The 14476-nt window shown below is 50.4% G+C and overlaps 2 protein-coding genes across 3 annotated transcripts in view, besides 6 other annotated features; both read left to right on the top strand.

Moving 5' to 3' along the window:
* The window catches only part of AARS1 (alanyl-tRNA synthetase 1), a 37209-nt gene extending 28321 nt beyond the window's left edge, over positions 1-8888 (top strand). The window contains exons 13-21 of one of the 2 annotated variants that reach the window (NM_001605.3): positions 29-142; positions 2000-2206; positions 2969-3153; positions 5350-5458; positions 6452-6565; positions 7148-7267; positions 7386-7472; positions 7805-7918; positions 8280-8888. In NM_001605.3, the coding sequence (NP_001596.2) occupies positions 29-142; positions 2000-2206; positions 2969-3153; positions 5350-5458; positions 6452-6565; positions 7148-7267; positions 7386-7472; positions 7805-7918; positions 8280-8465 (1236 nt within the window). In that variant the 3' untranslated portion in view covers positions 8466-8888. Of the gene's footprint in view, positions 1-28; positions 143-1999; positions 2207-2968; positions 3154-5349; positions 5459-6451; positions 6566-7147; positions 7268-7385; positions 7473-7804; positions 7919-8279 lie in introns of those variants that run through there. The other variant, XM_047433666.1, reaches the window with a different exon arrangement.
* Positions 614-856: a silencer, noted in NCBI's record as "fragment chr16:70294233-70294475 (GRCh37/hg19 assembly coordinates)". NCBI's record gives its function as "represses an EF-1alpha promoter that drives an FKBP-Casp9 reporter gene in an ReSE screen in K562 erythroleukemia cells {active_cell/tissue: K562}" and the evidence as "EXISTENCE:reporter gene assay evidence [ECO:0000049][PMID:32094911]".
* Positions 7705-8205: an enhancer, noted in NCBI's record as "H3K4me1 hESC enhancer chr16:70286884-70287384 (GRCh37/hg19 assembly coordinates)". NCBI's record gives its function as "activates a minimal SCP1, AML or CMV promoter by ChIP-STARR-seq in primed H9 embryonic stem cells {active_cell/tissue: H9 hESC(primed)}" and the evidence as "EXISTENCE:reporter gene assay evidence [ECO:0000049][PMID:30033119]".
* Positions 8840-9029: an enhancer, noted in NCBI's record as "active region_11051". NCBI's record gives its function as "activates an Ori minimal core promoter by ATAC-STARR-seq in GM12878 lymphoblastoid cells {active_cell/tissue: GM12878}" and the evidence as "EXISTENCE:reporter gene assay evidence [ECO:0000049][PMID:35858748]".
* Positions 9070-9119: an enhancer, noted in NCBI's record as "active region_11050". NCBI's record gives its function as "activates an Ori minimal core promoter by ATAC-STARR-seq in GM12878 lymphoblastoid cells {active_cell/tissue: GM12878}" and the evidence as "EXISTENCE:reporter gene assay evidence [ECO:0000049][PMID:35858748]".
* On the top strand, positions 9246-14408 carry EXOSC6 (exosome component 6). Its single transcript, NM_058219.3, has one exon. The coding sequence runs from the start codon at positions 9286-9288 to the stop codon at positions 10102-10104; it is 819 nt and encodes a 272-aa protein (NP_478126.1). The 5' UTR covers positions 9246-9285; the 3' UTR covers positions 10105-14408.
* Positions 9500-9589: a silencer, noted in NCBI's record as "silent region_7670". NCBI's record gives its function as "represses an Ori minimal core promoter by ATAC-STARR-seq in GM12878 lymphoblastoid cells {active_cell/tissue: GM12878}" and the evidence as "EXISTENCE:reporter gene assay evidence [ECO:0000049][PMID:35858748]".
* Positions 9720-10039: a silencer, noted in NCBI's record as "silent region_7669". NCBI's record gives its function as "represses an Ori minimal core promoter by ATAC-STARR-seq in GM12878 lymphoblastoid cells {active_cell/tissue: GM12878}" and the evidence as "EXISTENCE:reporter gene assay evidence [ECO:0000049][PMID:35858748]".
* Positions 14409-14476: the final 68 nt, after the last annotated feature.

Below are 14476 nucleotides of genomic sequence, written 5' to 3'. Positions count from 1 at the left end.
TATTGGTCTCTTCCTTGACCCCTCTTAGAAAACAGAGTTTACAGTGAAGAATGCTCAGGTCCGAGGAGGGTATGTGCTACACATTGGAACCATCTACGGTGACCTGAAAGTGGGGGATCAGGTCTGGCTGTTTATTGATGAGGTGAGTTGGGTTACTGTGGCCCCCATTGGATCTGGTTAGTAATTATCTTCTCCTCTGGCTTTAAATTGTCCTGTCACTGTTGGGCCGGGTGTGGTGGCTCACACTTGTAATCCCAGCACTTTGGGAGGCCGAGGCGGGTGGATCATGAGGTCAGGAGATCGAGACCATCCTGGCTAACACGGTGAAACCCCGTCTCTACTAAAAATATAAAAAATGAGCTGGGCGTGGTGGCAGGCGCCTATAGTCCCAGCTACTCGGGAGGCTGAGGCAGGAGAATGGCGTGAACCCGGGAGGGGGAGCTTGCAGTGAGCCAAGATCCCGCCACTGCACACCAGCCTGGGCAACAGAGCGAGACTCCGCCTCAAAAAAAAAATTGTCCTGTCACTGTTATCACTCCCTAGTGTAAGTAGACCGCAGGGGTTAATTTAGGTGCATTTGGTGGATTGTGAGGGATGCAACTAAGAGTTAATCTATATGTTCCCAAGTCAGTGATTTCACCAGTGATTTCAGTTAAGATCCCGTGGACTTGTTTTCACGGATTGCTTTTCTAACGTCACCTACTTCTTTGGGAGCCAAGGATGCTGAAGAATGAAGAGGTAGGCTCTGGCATGTGACAGAGCTCCAGAGTAAGAGTAGCTTAAAACCAGGATAGCAGTGTATGTTCTAAAAAGCTCAAGCTGATACGGAGGCTCTGCCCCACAGTCAGAGGGCCTGGTTTCTCCTCACCTGTCACTCCACCTTCTTTCCTGGGGCATTGCCTTTGATTTCCTGGTTCAGAGGATAGCTATCAGATCCATTGTCTAGGCCAGGGGTTGGCAAACTTTGTGTAAATAACTGGATACTAAATATTTTTGGCTTTGCTGACCACATGTTCCTGGTGATGAGTACTCAGCTCTATAGTTGGAGTGTTCAAGCAGCCATTGACCATATGTAAATGAACAGGTGTGGCTGTGTTCCAATAAACCTGTTTATGGCTGGGCACAGTGGCTCATGCCTGTAATCCCGGCACTTTGGGAGGCCGAGGCGAGCAGATCACCTGAGGTCGGGAGTTCGAGACCAGCCTGACCAACATGGAGAAACCCTGTCTCTACTAAAAATACAAAATTAGCCGGGTGTGGTGGTGCATGCCTGTAATCCCAGCTACTCAGGAGGCTGAGGCAGGAGAATCGCTTGAACTCGGGAGATGGAGGCTGCAGTGAGCCGAGATCATGCCATAGCACTCCAGACTGGGCAACAAGAGCGAAACTCCTTATAAAAAAAAAAAACTGTTTATAAAAATTTATAAACACATACATTTGGGGAGGCTGAGGTGGGAGGATTGCTTGAGGCCAAGAGTTTGAGACCCAGCCTGGGCAACAACATGAGACCCCATCTCTACAAAAAAATAAAAAATATTAGTTGGGGGTAGTGGTGTGTGCCTGTAGTCCCAGCTACTTGGGAGGCTGAGGCAAGAGGATCACTTGAGCCCAGGAGTTTGAGGTGGCACTGAGCTACAATCGCGCCGCTGTACTCTATCCTGGGTGACAGAGCAAGACCCTGTCTCTAAAAATGAAAAGACAGATGACAGGCTAGATTTAGCCATCGGCCGTCATTTGGCAATTCCTGTTCTAGGCGGTGGAAAAGAAATGGGAGGACCTGCCCCATCCCTTTAATGGTAGACATCACTTCTGTTCAAAACCTTTTGACCCGAACTTAGTCACATGGACACACTTAGCCATAGGGAAGCTGGGAAATGTAACCTTTATTCTGCACAGCCATATTTCCAACTAAAAATTGTAGCACTCGGGGGAGCAGATAACGAGGAGATAACTAGCAGTCTATTACAGACCTCTCCATGAGCCCCTCTGCCCTTTCCAGCCCCGACGAAGACCCATCATGAGCAACCACACAGCTACGCACATTCTGAACTTCGCCCTGCGCTCAGTGCTTGGGGAAGCTGACCAGAAAGGCTCATTGGTTGCTCCTGACCGCCTCAGATTTGACTTTACTGCCAAGGGAGCCATGTCCACCCAACAGATCAAGAAGGCTGAAGAGATTGCTAATGAGATGATTGAGGCAGCCAAGGTAGGATGGGCGACGGCTGAATGCCCCCCCTCCCCACACCGTCACTGTCTGTCCACAGTCTTAGCAGTGCGGTGCTCTCACTCTGTTGTATCAGATTCGTCCTGCACGTAGATTTGCTTAAAGCAGGCTGGGCACGGTAGCTCACGCCTGTAATCCCAGCACTTTGGGAGGCCGAGGCGGGCGGATCACGAGGTCAGGAGATTGAGACCATCCTGGCTAACCCTGTCTCTACTAAAAATAGAAAAAATTAGCCGGGCGTGGTGGCGGGCACCTGTAGTCCCAGCTACTCAGGAGGCTGAGGCAGGAGAATGGTGTGAACCCGGGAGGTGGAGCTTGCAGTGAGCCGAGATTGCGCCATTGCACTCTAGCCTGGGAAACAGAGCGAGACTCCGTCTCAAAAAAAAAAAAAGTTTGTTTAAAGCAGTGATTCTCCATCTGTGCTTTTGCCGGGGGCAGTGGTGGTGGTTGGTGGAGGGGAGAGGGAGAGGCATTTGTCCCACCCCACCTTGGGAGAACCAGAGCTGTTCTAGTTAAGTCTGTTCACATATGAGATTTGGTCCACAGTTTAACAAAATAGTTGGAAATTCCCATACTGATGCCCTTGACTTTGCACGTGGCGTGTGATTGAGGAAGCTCATGGCACGTGCTAGGCCAAGCCAGGTTGGAACCCGAGTCCTGCCTGCAGGACCATGCTTTCCTGCCTCGTCGTACCGCACCTCCAGGGATCTCTTCCAGCTCTTTTCTGTCTTCTTGGTCTGGCAGGCCGTCTATACCCAGGATTGCCCCCTGGCAGCAGCGAAAGCCATCCAGGGCCTACGGGCTGTGTTTGATGAGACCTATCCTGACCCTGTGCGAGTCGTCTCCATTGGGGTCCCGGTGTCCGAGTTGCTGGATGACCCCTCTGGGCCTGCTGGCTCCCTGACTTCTGTTGAGTTCTGTGGGGGAACGTGAGTACTGCAGAGGGGCAGAGTAGACAGGTCATCTACCTTCATCCTCTGAGGATGTAGGTCTTAGGCTGGACCAACTCTTGTCTGTCTAAGGTTGAAGTGAAGTCCTCAGAAATGCCGTTGCTAAATAGCGTTCCCAAGAATCTCAGCATCCTAGCATGCTCATTAGATCCCTGTATCTGAAGGTAACATTTCCTGACGAAACATTCCCAGGAGGAAAAGGGGGAAAACATTGTATTCACATTACCACACAGTTGCTTGCTGTTGTTTGCTGGGCTGAAACTAGCAAGAAGGCTTGTGTGAATTTGGGATTCAGCAAGGCCTGGAGTGCTTGTTGAGCTCTTGATGTGGGCCTAGCCCTTCCCATTCCTGGTATCTCACCTAATTTCCTTTGACAGCTTGGGCGGCATCTGGGGAATGTAGCTCCATTGTCTCAGAGCCCCCGAGCAGGCCACGTGGTTGACTCAGCTCAGTTTGGCTTGGGATAGCCACTTCTGCCAATTTGGATTCCTCTGTATCTCTCTGGGCCTTTTTGGGAAGGTCATGGTGGCCTGGAAAGTTTCTGCTTCCAAATGAAGCCTTGTGAAAAGAATTGTGGTTTTTTTTGTTTGTTTTTTTGAAGTGGAGTCTTGCTCTGTCCCGCAGGGTGGAGTGTAGTGGCACAGTCTCGGCTCATTGCAACCTCTACCTCCTGGCTTCGATTCTCATGCCTCAGCCTCCCAAGTAGCTGGGACTATAGGCATGTGCCCCCATGCCCAGCCATGAAGAGAACATTCTTTTTTTTTTTTTGAGACGGAGTTTCATTGCCCAGGCTGGAGTGCAATGGCGCAATCTTGGCTAACTGCAACCTCCACCTCCAGGGTTCAAGCGAGTCTCCTGCCTCAGCCTCCTGAGTAGCTGGGACTACAGGCACACACCACCACGCCCAGCTAATTTTTTGTATTTTTAGTAGAGATGGGGTTTCACCCTGTTAGCCAGGATGGTCTCCATCTTCTGACCTCGTGAGCCACCCACCTCAGCCTCCCAAAGTGCTGGGATTACAGGTGTGAGCCACCGTGCCTGGCCTAATTTTGTATTTTTAGTAGAGAGGGGGTTTCTCCACGTTGGTCAGGCTGGTCTTGAACTCCTGATCTCAGGTGACCCACCCGCCTCAGCCTCCCAAAGTGCTGAGATTACAGGTGTGAGCCACCACGCCCGGCTGAAAAGAACATTCTTAATGTCATGGTTGAGACCCTCCAGGGTCTCCTGCAGGCCTCTGGCAGGCAGGGAGCAAGTAGGATGTGCAGAGAGTAGGATAGGGGCCTGGGGGATTGAGTTCAAGGCTTTTCTGCCCAGCTGAATTGGGCCTTCAAACGAGTCCCACTTTGCCTGATTACCTGTTTGCTCATACCCTTTAGACTACAGGAAACAGCTTTCAAAAACTTTATACCAAGGGTTGGGTATGTTGCCTCATGCCTTTAATCCCAGCACTTAGGGAGGCTGAGGCAGGCAGATCACTTGAGGTCAGGAGTTCAAGACCAGCCTGTGCAACATGGTGAAAACCTGTCTGTACTAAAAATACAAAAATTAGGAGTGGTGGCGGGCACCTGTATCCAAGCTACTTGGGTGGCTGAGGCAAGAGAATCATTTGAAACTGGGAGGCAGAGGTTGTGGTGAGCCAAGATCACACCATTGCACTCCAGCCTGAACAACAGAACAGGACTCTGTCTCAAAACAAACAAACAAAAAAAACTATACTATCTTCAAAGAATGAGGATGAATTAATGAACATTTGAGGTTCTCTGAACTGAGAAATAAAGCCTGTTTAAGGGGTTGTGGTAAGATTTTAAAAGTAATCCTCCAAAATTGTCACCTAGTGAGCAGAATACAAAAATGGAGCTTAAGTTCCACTACAAGACCAAAACTGTCACGTAGAGCCTAAGGGTAAGACTGTATTGGATATTAGGGACCACAAAGCACTTTCATGTTTACCTCATTTGATTTTCACAGCAACTGTGTGGGGAGAATCATCCCCATTTGAGAACTGAGAACACTCAGGCTCAGCGAGCTGGTGTCCCGCTTGGTGTCAGAATACTCTCAAGCCCAGGCTTTCCCTGACTGTCAACCCATTCCTGCTTCTCTTGTCCGCTAGTGTGACCCCCCAGCCAAGGGCTGCCAGGGCCTCTTTCACTATGGACTTTGTGTTCTGCCATTCAGGCACCTGCGGAACTCGAGTCATGCAGGAGCTTTTGTGATCGTGACGGAAGAAGCCATTGCCAAGGGTATCCGGAGGATTGTGGCTGTCACAGGTGCCGAGGCCCAGAAGGTGAGCAGGTCAGGCTGGTTTGTGGCTTATCTGAAGAAGGCAAGAGGAGCCCAGTCTGCGAATCCATAGAGCAAACACTGCTCTGCGTGGCTGCTGCAGTCAGAGTGAAAGTACAGGCTGGGCCACTCCCCCTGCCCCAGTGTCCTACCCCTGAGTGGCAGAAGAAACCTGCCACCACACAAGATCTCCTAGCTTTCCTATGTTTAGTCTTTTAAAATATATGTGAATCAGGCCGGACGCAGTGGCTCACGCCTGTAATCCCAGCACTTTGGGAGGCCGAGGCGGGTGGATCACTAGGTCAAGAGTTCGAGACCAGCCTGACCAACATACTGAAACCCTGTCTCTACTAAAAATACAAAAATTAGCTGGGTGTAGTGGCGCGCGTCTGTAATCCCAGCTACTTGGGAGGCTGGGGCAGGAGAATCACTTGAACCTGGGAGGCAGAGGTTGCAGTGAGCCGAGATCGCACCACTGCGTTCCAGCTTGGGTGACGGGGCGAGACTCCGTCTCCAAAAAAAAAAAAAAAAAAAAAATGTGAATCTGGCCATCTACCCCCTCCTGTCTCCATGTGGAGGAGGGTAAGACATAGATTCGCTGTGGCATCGGGGCCCCCAGCGCTGATCCATGTACTCCTAGGGGCGTGCTTAGTCTGAGGCCGTGCAGTAGAGGATGGGTGCTCTTTCATGGGAACTGGTGTGTCTGACTTGTGCTAAAGCCCCAGGGGTGGCCACTTCCTGGGGGAAGGGGCTCCTGATTCTCGAGCTTGATCACCCCTGAGTCTGAGTTGGGTGCAGCCTTTGCCAATGGGCCTGTGAGCACTGTGCTCCTTGCTGGGGCCTGGGGCTGCCAGCACCTACTCCCCACAGACACTTTTGGGGTGTTGGGGTATGTTGCTGCAAGGCCTACCGCCGGGGCTTCCGCAGCTGCTCAGACACAGGATAGTGAGTCTGACTCAGACCTCCTGCTTGGGGTTGACCCGGTGTCCCCTCCCAGGCCCTCAGGAAAGCAGAGAGCTTGAAGAAATGTCTCTCTGTCATGGAAGCCAAAGTGAAGGCTCAGACTGCTCCAAACAAGGATGTGCAGAGGGAGATCGCTGACCTTGGAGAGGTAGGGGCGGCTTCCCTCCCTCCGTCCTCAGGGCCTGGTGCATGAAACATGCCCCGTCTTCAGGAAATCATCTGTAGTCAGTCAGGCCCTGGTTCTTGGTGGAATGGGCCTTTGGGCTGACTTCTGTTGTCCTGTAGCCTTGTAGCAGGGACCCCATGGATCCTGTCCTTGGACCCTGGACATTCCCTGCTGCTCCCAGTGCTGCTAGCAGGAGAGCTCTTCCCAAGCATGTATGGGCACTGGGGTGGAGGGATTTGGGGAATGGGCTAAGGCTGGCCCCTGCTTCCAAGCCTGCCTGGTATTTATTTGCATTTCAAGCTGCCAGGAAGCTTATCACAGGCTGTTCCCAGCCTGGTAAGGACCGGGCCTGATTTGGGAGCCCAGCTTTCTGCTGCTCCTTTCTCTCTAGCCCTGCTTGTTTCACCTGCCACAGCTGCTCCTAAAGGGACTGGTCTCAAAGCTTTCCTTGCTTTCCTTTCCAGGACACTAGTCAGGGAGGACTTGGGTTCGGGTGGGGTGGGCTGGACCCTGACATCCCAGCAAGTTGTGGCCCAGATTGAGATGGTCGTCTATTGGTTCCAGGCCCTGGCCACTGCAGTCATCCCCCAGTGGCAGAAGGATGAATTGCGGGAGACTCTCAAATCCCTAAAGAAGGTCATGGATGACTTGGACCGAGCCAGCAAAGCCGATGTCCAGAAACGAGTGAGTCCTGGCAGCACCAGTGGCCAGAGTGTTTCCTAGGCAAAGGCTGGCAGAACAGCCAGGGGTTCGGGGCCTGGGCTTTTGGTCTGAGCTGCTGTTCTGGACTTTTTTCTTGCAGGTGTTAGAGAAGACGAAGCAGTTCATCGACAGCAACCCCAACCAGCCTCTTGTCATCCTGGAGATGGAGAGCGGCGCCTCAGCCAAGGCAACCCAGGGGCCAGGGTCCCCTCCCCTAGGGCTCATCAGCTCTCTGGTGGCTGACATGTGGCCTCTGTGGCTCTGAGCGAAGTGGTTGCCTAAGGGCCCACGGTCTGGGATTGAGATTGGGAGGAGCAGCAGCTCCCTGCATGTGGGAGGCATACCTGGGCCAGGGTAGGGGCAGGGCCCGGCGCTGGGGTCCTCCCCACAGGCCCTGGGCACAGCCCCTGCTCTGGGAAGGGGTAGGGGTGGGTGGCAGGCCTTCTGAGGGCTGCAAATGCTCACACTAGTGAGGGTCCCTGCTCCAGCACCGTGGCCTGAGCCAGGTCCTCCCCACAGGCCCTGAATGAAGCCTTGAAGCTCTTCAAGATGCACTCCCCTCAGACTTCTGCCATGCTCTTCACGGTGGACAATGAGGCTGGCAAGATCACGTGCCTGTGTCAAGTTCCCCAGGTCAGCACCACCTCGCACCAGTGGGAAGTGTTAGGTCTTAAGGTTGTTGGCTGAGGCCTGTGTGTGTACAGCCTGCATTCGAAACAGCCTTTCTGCCCACCGGTTGGTTACCTTTGCCAGTACCCCTTACCCAGGCCTTCTTATTGGTGAAGACATCTGGTTGATACCTGGCTTTGCCACTCTGTCCTGTCCTGGCAGTGGCCATGGCCGCCCCCTGTACCAGCCGTAAAGTCTGTCTCGGCCTCCAGCAGTATCACCCAGGGCAAGGAGTGGGTGATGGCTCCTCCATCCTTTCTTTCCCTGCATTCCTCCCTCAATCCCATCTTCTGTGCTGACTCCCCCTTCCCTTCCTGTCTTCTAGAATGCAGCCAATCGGGGCTTAAAAGCCAGCGAGTGGGTGCAGCAGGTGTCAGGCTTGATGGACGGTAAAGGTGGTGGCAAGGATGTGTCTGCACAGGCCACAGGCAAGAACGTTGGCTGCCTGCAGGAGGCGCTGCAGCTGGCCACTTCCTTCGCCCAGCTGCGCCTCGGGGATGTAAAGAACTGAGTGGGGAAGGAGGAGGCTCCCACTGGATCCATCCGTCCAGCCAAGAGCTCTTCATCTGCTACAAGAACATTTGAATCTTGGGACCTTTAAAGAGCCCCTCCTAACCCAGCAGTAACTGGAACACACTTGGGAGCAGTCCTATGTCTCAGTGCCCCTTAAATTTCTGCCCTGAGCCCTCCACGTCAGTGCCATCGGTCTAGAACCACTAACCCCGCATTGCTGTTGATCGTCACGCTCGCATCTATAGATAACGGCTCTCCAGACCTGAGCTTTCCGCGTCAGCAAGTAGGAATCGTTTTTGCTGCAGAGAATAAAAGGACCACGTGCAATACTTAATGCCGCATGATCTCTATCCCTCTTCCCAATAGGGGCTGGCTCTTTTGACAGCCTTTGGCGTCTGTAGAATAAATGCTGTGGCTCCTGCTGGCTGCTGTGGTGTTCACCTAGTCCAGCCCCAGAACCCAAAATTTTGGGAACAGCCCCTAGGGCTGCCTCAAACGTCTGTGGAGGTGGAGGCCAAATAGGTGGGGTGACTTGGAGCAAGGCGTTCATAATTCAGTAGATGAGGGGTGGAGGTAGTTGGAAGCAGAGAAGCCTTTCTTGGAGCTGCTCTCCCCCCTCCCTTCCAGCAAGATGGATGGATCCGGCTACCCTGCACAACTGGGACCGGGCCGTTCTCCCTCCGGGCCTCCAGGGGCGCTGTAGTGCCTCCCGCCGCTCTCTCGACAGCCCATGCGCAGCCGCGCGTCTTTAAACAACGGAAGAACCAGTGGATGCGGCAGGGCGTTGGGCGGAAGGGGTTCGCACGCCAAGAACCGCCATGCCTGGGGATCACCGCCGCATCCGCGGCCCTGAAGAATCGCAGCCGCCGCAGCTGTACGCGGCCGACGAGGAGGAGGCGCCCGGCACCCGCGACCCAACGCGGCTACGGCCCGTGTACGCGCGCGCCGGGCTGCTGAGCCAGGCCAAGGGCTCGGCCTACCTGGAGGCGGGAGGCACCAAGGTGCTGTGTGCCGTGTCGGGCCCGCGACAGGCCGAGGGCGGCGAGCGCGGCGGCGGCCCGGCCGGAGCAGGCGGCGAGGCCCCGGCCGCGCTGCGCGGTCGCCTGCTCTGCGACTTCCGCCGCGCACCCTTCGCGGGCCGCCGGCGCCGCGCTCCCCCGGGCGGCTGCGAGGAGCGTGAGCTGGCGCTGGCGCTGCAGGAGGCGCTGGAGCCGGCTGTGCGCCTGGGCCGCTACCCGCGCGCGCAGCTCGAGGTGTCGGCGCTGCTGCTGGAGGACGGTGGCTCGGCCCTGGCCGCCGCGCTCACCGCCGCCGCGCTCGCCCTGGCCGACGCGGGCGTGGAGATGTACGACCTGGTGGTGGGCTGCGGCCTCAGCCTCGCGCCGGGGCCCGCGCCCACCTGGCTCCTGGACCCCACGCGGCTCGAGGAAGAGCGCGCCGCCGCCGGCCTCACCGTGGCGCTCATGCCTGTGCTGAATCAGGTGGCCGGGCTGCTGGGCAGCGGCGAGGGCGGCCTGACAGAGAGCTGGGCGGAGGCCGTACGCCTGGGCCTCGAGGGCTGCCAGCGCCTCTACCCCGTGCTGCAGCAGAGCCTGGTGCGGGCCGCCCGCCGCAGGGGCGCCGCCGCCCAGCCCTGAACCAGAAGCCTGAGCAACTACGGACGCAAGCCGAGGACCGTGCTGCCGCCGTCCACGAAAAGACCCGCGCCATCGGCCTCCAGTTTGCGTCGAGAATTCCTGGAAGGGCCCTGATATGACTGTGGTTGGACTGACCTGACTGCCAGATGGTGGGACTTGGTCTGGAGCAGGGACTACTTGGAATGATAAAGGCAAAACTCAACAGCCCCTGGAGCTGCGCTTGTGGTGGAGCTGGACCCTGAAATTACCTGGACCTTTTTTTTAGAGACAGGGTTTCTTTCTGCAGTCTCAAACTCCTAGCCTTGATTGATCCTCCTGCCTTGGCCTCCCAAAGTGCTGGGACTACAGGTGCATGCAACCACACCTGGCTAATTTTCTTTTCTTCTTTCTTTCTTTTTTTTTTTTTTTTTTTTTTGATGGAGTCTTGTTCTGTTGCCCAGGCTGGAGTGCAATGGTGCAATCTTGGCTCACTGCAACCTCTGCCTCCTGGGTTCAATCCATTCTCCTGCCTCAGCCTCCCAAGTAGCTGGGATTACAGGCACATGCCTCCATACCGGGCTAATTTTTGTATTTTTAGTAGAGATGGGGTTTCGCCATGTGGGCCAGGCTGTTCTCGAATGCCTGACCTCAGGTGATCCACCCGCCTTGGCCTCCCAAAGTGCTGGAATTACAGGTGTGAGCCACTGTGCCCAGCTGAGTAAATTTCTTGATTGCACAGAATGTACGGTGATATTGGCGGACTTAAGGACATCGAATTGTTTATCAGGAATAAAGTATTATGTGTGTTTTCTGCGGCCCTGGATAATGCTGTAGCATTCAGGGTCGATTGAGTAAAAAAAATGTAGAGATGGTTTCCTGTTTGTTTTTGCTTCTAGTTTTCATTCATTTGCTATTTATTCTCTTCTGGCTTTGCTTGTGTATGCATATATATAAAACCATTATTATTATTATTATTATTTTTAGTTTCTAGTGGAAGGCTTTTATTTGGTTCTGTGAATAGTCATTTTGTTTCCTAAGAACTTCCAGCAAGTTGTATTCATTCCATTCATCTAGAATTCCTAGGCTGCCTTTGTCGGGCCTGCAGGTATTAATGGAGAATAGCAGCTTTTTATTTTTTTATATTTATTTTTTGAGACAGAGTCTCACTCTGTTGCCCAGGCTGGAGTGCAATGGCGCGATCTCAGCTCACTGCAACCTCCGCCTCAGAGGTTCAAGTGATTCTCCTGCCTCAGCCTCTGGAATAGCTGGGACTACAGGCACCTGCCACCACACCCAGCTAACTTTTTGTATTTTTAGAGAAGATGGGGTTTCATCATGTTGGCCAAGCTGGTCTCAAACTCCTGATCTCAGTGATCCATCTGCCTCAGCCTCCCAAAGTTATAAGATTTTTTTCCTCTGGTTTTTAGTAAATGTTTTTTTTGAGATTGCTTAGCACCAGAATGATTTGCAAATTTGAAAATAGGAACTCCACTAGGAATGCCGGATAGAAGAGTGCTTCACATTTGTAGAGGGAGACAAGAACTAAATATCACGACGTCTTTCTGAGCCTTTTGGTTTGCTAACGTGCCCCAAATTCTTATTCCAAACGGTATAAGATAATTATGTGTAAATGAATACCAGCTCTACTTAGTTTTATTTCATATTTGTGTATCTGAATATATTAAAATATCTTTTTTTTTTTTTTGATGCGGAGTCTTGCTCTGTTGTCCAGCCTGGAGTGCAGTGGCATGATCTCGGCTCACTGCAACCTCTGCCTCCCAGGTTCAAGCGATTCTCCTGCCTCAGCCTCCTAAGTAGCTGGTATTACAGGAGTGTGCCATTAGCCTGGCTAATTTTTGTATTTTTAGTAGAGATGGATTTTCATTGTGTTGGCCATGCTGGTCTTGAACTCCTGACCTCAAGTGATCCTCCTGCCTTGGCCTCCCAAAGTACTGTGATTACTATCATGAGCCACCACACCTGGCCTAAAAGATCATTGATTTAGTTTTGAGTAAGATTTTAAGTGATTAAATTATGGTATTGTTGTGTCTGGAATATCTGATATTAGGGTTTTTTTTTTTTTTTTTTACAGTTTTTGATATGCTTTATTTTGGGTATGTAGTTTACAAAATATAAAGGAAATATAAGGAGTGTTCTCTTTTTTTTTTAAATAAAAAGTGTATTTTTAACTGGGCATGGTGGCTCACTCCTGTAACCCCAGCACTGTGGGAGGCTGAGGCTGGTGAATCGCCTGAGTCCAGGAGTTTGAGACCAGCCTGGGCAACAAGGTGAAACCCTGTTTCTATCAAAAAAAAAAAAAAAAAAAAAAAAGGAAAAAAAATAAGTCAGGCATGGTGGTATGCACCTGTAGTCCCAGCTACTTGAAGGCTGAGGCAGGAGGATCGCTTGTGCCTGGGAGGTTGAAGCTACAGTGAGCTATGGTCAAGCTACTGCACTCCATTATAGGCAACCCTATCTCAAAAAAGCAAAGCAAAACAAAACATTTTTCCCCTTGATTATAGAGGTTTGAGAAAAATTTGAGGGAAGATTCAGAAAATTACCTGTAACTGAACAGAATGCCACCAGCTTGGGCTTATTCTGCATGCATAATTATGAACATTTTCCCAGCTCTTGTGAAAATTCTCACATTCATAGAAAGATAGATGCACCAGTAAAATAAATACCTGTAAATACGATAATAATTTCATAATAATATGCTTCACCTAGATTTACCAGTTACTAATATTTTGCCAGTTTTATTTTCTCACACACTTTTGTTGAGCATCTGAAAACCATACACATGATGACAGTTCAACCCATAATGTTTTAGTTTGCATCTCCCAAGAATAAGGTTTTTCTTCTGTATAACAAGAATATTGTAATCATACCTAAGAAAATGAATTTTATTACATATGTGTTCTATATTCAAATTTCTGTAATTACCCCTAAGATGTCTTTTAAATGATTTTTAGCATTGATAGTCTGTGCCTGTGTAGATTATAACATTGGCTATTGCAAAATAATGGTTTTCTTTTTCTCTTTTTTTTTGAGACGAAATCTTGCTCTATTGTCCAAGCTGGAGGGCAGTGGCACAATCTCGGCTCACTGCAACCTCCGCCTCCCAGGTTCAAGCAGTTCTCATGCTTCACCCTCCTGAGTAGCTGGGATTACAGGCAGGTGCCACTGTGCTCTGCTAATTTTTATATTTTTAGTAGAGACGGAGTTTCATCGAGCTGGCCAGACTGGTCTTGAACTCCTGACCTCAAGTGATCCACCTGCCTCGTCCTCCCAAAGTGCTGGGGTTACAGGTGTGAGCCACTGCACCCAGCCTAAAATGATGGTTTTCTGATTCTAGCATTTCTTTTATAAGATTGCTATGTAAAGCACAGCTTTTCTTTTTTTAGGGAAAAATGTCTTTTAACAGCTGCAAAATAAATATTCTTTCAATGGAATGACAATTATTATTTTTGCCATATATTTATTTTAAAAATTTATGTATAATGGTAACCTGAGCCTGCATGTTATTCATGTGTGGTGCCATACTGATCTTTAATTTTAATGTGAAGCAAGTACTAATATAGTAAAGCATAAATTATATAAAATTTGCTTTATATTTTGGATTGCAAATTAATTGCTGTACTTTATAGAAAAGTTTCCCAAATCCGTTTTACTTTTTTGTATTTGAAATTTAATCACAGGTGGAATCTTAAAGAGAGCATTTAGGGATATTGTAAACAGATGTTATTAAGGACTAATGTTAACAAACATTGAAGAAGAGAAAACAGTATTTGTTTTTAGCTTAACATCTTAGTGGAGTGAAATATTTTCAGTATATTTATTTTATTTATTTATTAATTATTTTTTTTTTTGAGATGGAGTCTGGCTGTATTGTCCAGGCTGGAGTGCAGCGGTGCAATCTCAGCTCACTGCAACCTCTGCCTCCTGGGTTCAAGCGATTCTTGTGTCTCAGCCTCCCGAGTAGTTGGGATTTACAAGTCAATTTTTTTTTTAACTAAAACTACAGAATCTATTTTTCTTGGTCTCATACTCAGTTTTTTATGTAGTCACTTAGTAAATAACCTAATTTGCTTGTTTTCTCCACACTAATTTTAGGGTGAATTCCTCATTTCGCTTTTCAGATCATGGGGTGAGGGGGATGGTTGTGTGTGTGAGGAACTGAGGAATCAGATGGAAAACAATGCCTCTGCTCCTTTGAGTATAATCAGTGATATTTGAGGTTCCAGGGTTAAATGCTGCATTTTTATTTCTGACGTTCGTACCTTAAAATATTTGAAGAAAATAAACTATTTCATTGTTGTCAGAAATGTAGTTCTTTTATTTTCCTGCCCCTCTCCCCTTTCTAAGTTTCTAGAATGTTGAGTAGGTAGAACAT

Source organism: Homo sapiens, chromosome 16 (assembly GCF_000001405.40).
Source record: "Homo sapiens chromosome 16, GRCh38.p14 Primary Assembly".
NCBI classification, from domain to species: Eukaryota; Metazoa; Chordata; class Mammalia; order Primates; family Hominidae; genus Homo; species Homo sapiens.
Note: the sequence above shows the minus strand (reverse complement) of the source record. Positions and strands in the feature narration are given on the sequence as shown.

What these genes read in the sequence shown, in the direction of transcription:
- EXOSC6 (NM_058219.3), top strand. Translation starts at nt 9,286, where the DNA reads ATGCCTGGGGATCACCGCCGCATCCGCGGCCCTGAAGAATCGCAGCCG.